Source organism: Homo sapiens, chromosome 8 (assembly GCF_000001405.40).
Source record: "Homo sapiens chromosome 8, GRCh38.p14 Primary Assembly".
NCBI lineage: Eukaryota > Metazoa > Chordata > Mammalia > Primates > Hominidae > Homo > Homo sapiens.
This window is the reverse complement of record NC_000008.11, coordinates 81782357-81789318: the sequence shown is the minus strand read 5'-3', so window position 1 is coordinate 81789318 and position 6962 is coordinate 81782357. Positions and strand designations below refer to the sequence as shown.

The 6962-nt window shown below is 39.6% G+C and overlaps 2 annotated features.

Annotated features, from left to right (window-relative positions):
• Positions 5159 to 6358: an enhancer, noted in NCBI's record as "BRD4-independent group 4 enhancer chr8:82695196-82696395 (GRCh37/hg19 assembly coordinates)". NCBI's record gives its function as "activates an origin of replication core promoter dependent on BRD2, P300/CBP, MED14 and CDK7 cofactors, and independent of BRD4, by STARR-seq in HCT116 cells {active_cell/tissue: HCT116}" and the evidence as "EXISTENCE:reporter gene assay evidence [ECO:0000049][PMID:35650434]".
• Positions 5411 to 5705: an enhancer, noted in NCBI's record as "tiled region #4986; HepG2 Activating non-DNase unmatched - State 24:Quies, and K562 Activating DNase matched - State 8:EnhW". NCBI's record gives its function as "activates a minimal TATA promoter and a strong SV40 promoter by Sharpr-MPRA in HepG2 and K562 cells {active_cell/tissue: HepG2 | K562}" and the evidence as "EXISTENCE:reporter gene assay evidence [ECO:0000049][PMID:27701403]".

The window sequence follows — 6962 nt, the reverse complement described above, 5'->3', positions numbered from 1 at the left end:
TTAACTGGGAATTAAACAATGAAAATACATGGACCCAAAGAGAAAAACAACAGACACTGGATCCTACTTGTGGGTGGAAGGTGGGAGGAGGGAGGATTAGAAAAAATAACTGTGGGTACTAGGCTTAGTACCTGAATTACAAAATAATCTGTACAACAAACCCCCATGACACAAGTTTACTTATGCATGAAACCTGCACATGTACCCCTGAACCTAAAATAAGAGTTTAAAAAATAAAAAAAGGAAGATTAAAGATATTCATGATACACTACTTCTATGATTTTAATGTGTCCCCCACAAAGCATGCACTGGACATTTAATCCCCACTGCAATGGTGTTGGGAGGTGGGGCCTAATGGGAAGTGTTTAGGTCAAGAGGGCTCCACCCTCACTAATGGATTAATGCTGATCATAAAAGGGCTTGAAGCTGAATTTAATTCCTTGCTCTCTCTTGCCATGTGATGCCTTTTGCTATGTTGTGATGCAGCAAGAAGGTTCTCACAAGATGCCAGTGCCACACCCTTGGACTTCCCAGCCTCTAGTACCCAGTACTATAAGCCAAATAAATTTCTGTCCATTATAAATTACCCAGTCTGTGGTATTCTGTTGTAGCAATGGAAGACAGACTAAGACAACCACTAAATGAAAGAAGCAAGTTACAAAACTATAATTTCAGTTTTACAAGTAAAAAGATATACATTTATGCATTTGTATACAGAAAGAATAAATATAATACCTGTGGTTATCTCCACTTGATGAAATTATGAAGTTTTATTTTCTTCTTTTCATGAATCTGTATTTTATCAATTTTCTACAATAAGCATGTATTACTTTGTAATTTTTAAATATTACTTTTAAACTAATAAAAACTAATATGTATATTGCCCCACCATCTGCTATCTGACTTATGGCAAATTCCTCAACATGTCTGTTTCCTATAAAAGGAAGATAATGCCATCCAAGCTATGGCATTGCTGTGGCCTAAATAAAGTGTGCATATGCTAAACCCAGCCTGTCTCATAGTAGGCACTCATGAATGGGTAGTATCTGACATTCAGCCTGTGCTGACTACCATTATCTTTGGCCATTCAGAAGAAGAGTCCATCTGTATGCCTAAACTATACAGCATAAATATTTCATTAAACTGATATTGGTGAACAGACCTAATGTCATTCATTAACTAACCATTTTATTTCAGTTGTTCACCCTAATCTTAAATTTTGAAGGCTTAAATAGGGTCCACCCAGGTTACAAATGACTTTTCTTCTAATTTCATTTCCAAGTTACACGTTAGTAAATAGGGCTTTCTCAAACTAAACTTAAAATACCTTTTTAATCTATGAAATACTGGAAGTCTGTGTAATGTTTTCAATAGGACACAACGGCTTTGAACTAGTAATTAAACAATAATAATGAAATAACAGTTACAGATATTTATCTAGATGCATGGGGCTTGGAAAAAGCAGTTTAATTAGAAATAAAAGGTAACTGGAAACTTTTGTGAAGAATTTAATGGGAGATTTCAGAGTAAGCTACGTCAAACACGAGGAGTTTTTACAGTTGTGCAGAGTTGTCCACCTCAACTTAATAGGTCAACAAACAAGGCAAAAGATTTAGGCCTTGAGGATACAAGTAAGCAAGGAGATAGCTTCCCGAATCCTTCCTGGTTCCTCATGGAAGCTGACTGCAGGTTTGGTCGTTCCCACAGTGCACAGGAGCAATGCAACCACTGCGTCCTTCCCTGCCTTTTGTGTAATGAGGCTGGGGTGAAGCGTATCAACCCTAAAGGGTTGACCTAGTGCCTTGTAAGGGCTTCTTTTATATCATGGCCTGCTGCACAGGGGCTTATAAAAACATTGCACAGGGTTTTAATTTTTTGTTTTGCATAAGTCTGTCAATCACTAGCTTTAATTTTATGCTTGTTAATCAAAATAAAGGCTGTGCTTTTACTTAAAATGGAATAAAAATATTCCTGTGATGGCTGAAGAGGAGTTAGAAGACAGAGGAAGAAGTGAGGGTTTGCCTCCAATTGAATTAATAAAAGTATGCATGGTAAAAGAAGACAAAAGTTACAATATCGTATGGACTCAAGCAGCTGAGAGGGAAAGAAAGATGACCAGGAGAATATGGCAGATAAAACTGAACCAGACAAAAGCAAGAAGGCACAAAAGCACTCAGTCTGGAAGGTTTATAATCTGGTATGTGCCAGCCCTCTAATCTTCAACTTGGTGCATCAGGGGTTTATTTAGTAGAGTCTTAGAGAAATTGCTTTTGTAGTATATGAACAACTTTATGTTCTAAATAAGACCTTTCTTGTATGTACTAAAAAACATAAATAAAATAAAAGACAGTTGCCTTTCCTTTTTCAGCTAGATGATAATTACTCATTAAAGGTTGATGTTGCTTACATGGATATATTTATACTACCTTGCTCAACATCTTTTTAAAAAATCTGTTGAGGCTGGGCTTGGTGGCTTATGCCTGTAATCCCAGAACTTTGGGAGGCCAAGGTGGGCAGATCACTTGAGGTCAGGAGTTCGAGACCAGCCTGGCCAATATGGTGAAATTCTGTCTCTACTAAAAATACAAAATTATACATATATTAGTCAGGCGTGGTGGCGCAGGCCTGTAGTCCCAGCTACTTGAGAGGCTGAGGCAGGAGAATCACTTGAACCCGGGAGGCAGAGGTTGCAGTGAGCTGAGATTGTGCCACCGCACTCCAGCCTGGGTGACAGAGCAAGATTCCGTCTCAGGAAAAAGAAAAATCTATTGAGTTTACTTTTTTAAGCATTTTATGTCTGTAAAATGTTTTCTAATTTTCCCCAGTTCTTACAGGCTACAACTTTCCAAGCTCACCTGCCTCTTAATCTAATTCTAGTTCGGAGTATACTTTAAAATTCCACAAACTTAAAGTCTGGACTCTGCTTTCTAACAAGTGGGGCAAATTCCTTTGCATTTCTGAGCCTCAGTCCTCATTTAAAGGGAGACAACAATAGTGCCCCCCAATCTGGTTTATTGAAAGAAGAACAGGTAAAGAGAATGTAAACTGTTCAACAGAGAACTTGGCATCTGCTGTGGCTCAGGAAACCGCACTGTCGCCGCAGGTCAGTGTGGATGTTGTGGAGGTGTTAAGTGGGGCAGTGCGTGTTTTCCATGCCCACATAAAAATGTTTGCCAGTCAGAGATTTATGCCTCATCCAGTGCCCGCTAAGCTGCTATGAAAAGACAACAATTCAGTCACATTCTGGAAACAAGAAAAAGCTACCTGCAATGCTGAATTATCCATAGTCCTATAGTAGCTTGTAGACCTACTTGGTGATGATGGGCTCTGTGTTTGAATAGTTAGCTTCACAGAAACACATTTTCATTGCACCCAAGTTGACAATACATTGGAGCTCAACTTTTCAATCTCATCTCCTGTCATGCTTTTTCTGATTCATTGGCCATACTAGTCTTTTTCAGTTCAATCAGTGTTCTAAACATTTTCCCACCTCAAAACCCTCGAACACAACATTTGCTGTACATTTTCTTTCTATAGAGGAAGAAAGCCAAACCTTAGCTAGGGAAATCTCAACTTCCTGGTTCTGAAGCCTTTCCAGTAAATCTTGTTTTATTAAGCGATGCTTAATAATTGTTTTATAAACACTGAAAGTTAAAATGCAATTTCCTATGTAAATGCATCAAGCAAATAAGAATGGTATTTAAGGACATAAAGAAATAGGGAAATTAAGGAAGTTGATCTATTTAAGGTCAGGTCACAAATTCCCTTAAGCTTTTTCTTGGAAACATTTTTCTTTTGGCTCAGTCTCACCTTTCAAACATATCAGAAAAATAATATTGATTTTGTGTGTTGTCAAGGCATAAAAAGCTGATATGAAAGGCACTTCCTAAATTTATTTTCAAGATACAAAATGGTCACTGTGACTAAATATACAGTGCTCCTTTCTGCATTAGTTGGATCCTCACCCAATTACATTAGGAGTTTTAAACTTTAAAATGTTTAAAAGTAAATATTATTGGAGTAAACTTGATTCCACTTTTCTTGGTCACTAGCTTCTGTTGAAGTGGAAGGGTACACTCTAAGAAAGTTAATTGAATTTAAAGATACTGAAATAAGAATTCCCTTCAATTCAACCAATATTGGTTGAATTCAATTCAACCTGTACATGTTGAGATTACTGTTTATGTGCATGGAGTTTCTAGAAAAATGATGGCAACAAAAACACAATGTCTGCTGACCTTGGGTTCTGTCTACAGAAAGACCTCAGAAACATTTTAGGCATTGCTTTCAATTACTCAACACTTTGTAATCTGTATACATCCAGGCATTCAGTCAGCAAACATTACTGACCATCTACTGCATGGTAGGGCATGGGCTTCACATTTGCTAGATGAACAAGGCCCTTTGTTAACCCGCTACTTCTCCAGTCTCCTCTGCCAACCAATCCCCACCCAGAGCCCCAGCTAGGGACATGCTATATCCCAGCTCTGCATGCTCTATTCACTCCATAATAACCAGGAAGTTAGCCCTGTAGCACCTGTAACCTCCTCCTGTGGTGGACCACTTACCACCTTGGGCTGAACTCATTTATCTTGAGTCCATTACCACTGCAGGCTGACTCTGAGCAACCCTTCACTGCTTATCACATCACAGTGCTGGAGTGTACACCACAGAGGCTCAATAGATATTTGTTACATACAAGCAGATTGTGACCAGCCTGGGAAATAACATTTCAAAATAGGGTATATGGAAGTCTTAGATCTCAGTCAATTAATACTTTATAATCTGCTCTCAAGTAACATGGATCCAGGGACTCTCATAACTAGTAGTACTTTAGAAAGTAGATGTCAACACTGACCCTCAGGGCAAAAATTCCTTTCATAGCAAGCTTGCCATTCCCACAGAAGCAACTGTGATTTGGAAAGTACTCCTGAAGTGGCTCTAGGGTGACAGTTTGAGACAGCATCTACCTCGCCAGATTCAAACCCTAGAATGCTCATGCCTGAGGAGCCTGCCAAGTCTTCTGCTCCAAACTTCTCATTTTACAGATGAAATCACAAACCAGCAAGGTGACATGAACACAGTGAGTGGAAAACAAAGCTCTTTGGCTCCCAACCTAATGATACTTTATTTCATACAAATGTCTCCTGTATTTGGTTATATCTGTGAACATTTCATGGATGATGGATCAGGGCAGTTATCTGTGAATTATACTTCCACCATAGCCAGTGGAAGGAGAGTTCTCAGCCTTGTCCCTATTCCACGTTCCAGTTCTACCTCTTGGGCCTAGGATGATGAAGGAGATTGCTGAGTCATATTTTAATACCATCAACCAGGGTCAACAACTTCCACCCAGCCTGAGGTAGCTGCAGGCATCCTACCCACCTCCCTACAGTGAAACTGCTGCCCATTCCAATGCCATTCATGCATGCACTAGCCCAAAAGCTTTTGAATGAAGAGTCACCCTGATCTCACTAAACAAATGCTACCTCATTAGGTGCTATGACTACACCACAGACCCTGAGACAGGATGGAATAAGACCAGGAGTTAGAGGGTGAGTCAGCAGAATAAAATGGCTACTTAGAGAGGAAACTCCATCAGACATAGGAAGAAGGTGGGGCAAGACAATATCCAGCACCCTCCCTTGACATCACAGCCACTCTTAAAAAGGTCTGTCTCTTCACAACTCCCCACTTCTGTCCCCAGACCCCACGTTCACTTCCAGGTAAGTTTCCTGAAGAAGGATTGAGGCCCCTGCTCTTCAGGTTTAGCAGCAGCGAGTGAGCCAGTGCTCTTCACCCTCTCTGTGTGAGGTCTTGGGAGAGGGTTAATGAGCCAATCCCGTGGTTGCCCCATGGGCACATCATAGCCTCAGCTGACGAACAAAGACCCAACAGGCACGAATGCAGGGAGGCACACGATGAGTGGATCGTGACTTATCTCAGTGAATGAATCTTCATCTAAGAGTTGTTTTCCTCCTGCAGACAAACCAGAACATGAACCTTCCACCCTCTTATCAATCTGCAGAGATTCCTTCCAAATTCAGACAGGACATTCAACATTTAGAACAGAAACATAGTAATCAAAGGTTATGATAGTTTAATGTGGATATAACACATTCTTGGGAAGGTTTATTCCTCCTTGTCACAGGGGCTACTAGACAGATGTTGACTAAGCACGGTGAGTAGATGGTTGGGTGAGAACTTGTAGAATATTAGTTTTAAACTCTCCTTCAATGTAAATTTCTTTAGTGCAGGTTTCTCTTGTAATATCACTTCATTACACTTATTTGTTTATATAATTCCCTCTTCTCAACTGTATTAAAGGTTGAGACCTTACCTTTTTACCATTGCATGACCACCACCTAATTAATATACCTGAGAGACAGTAGGAGTTTAATAAATAAATCTTGTATAATTACATTTAGCTAGATTTTCGGAAGGTACTATACAGATTGGTCAGATGCTTTCATGTTAACAAGAAATAAGTCTTACATCTTAACTTATATTTATATAAAATCAAAATATAAACAGAATCTTACTCTCATAAACTGACTACAACTCATGAAAATAAACTACGATTGTCTACTTAAGCTTCACTGCTTGGAACAGAAAACTAAGTACCTCATGTTCTCAATTCTAAATGGGAGCTAAACATTGAGTACACATAGACCAAAAAAAAGGAGGAGGGGGGATCAACAGACACCAGGGCCTACTTGAAGGTGGAGGGTGGGAGAAGGGTGAGGATGAAAAAACTACCAGTCAGTACTATGCTTATTACCTGGGTGATGAAATACTCTGTACACCAAACCCTTGAGACACACAACTCACCTGTATAATAAGCCTGCACATGTACCCTCTGAACATAAAATAAAAGTCAGAAAGAAAGAAGGAAGGAAGGAAGGAGAGAAAGCAAGCAGGAAGGAAGGAAGGAAGGAGAGAAAGCAAGCAGGAAGGAAGGA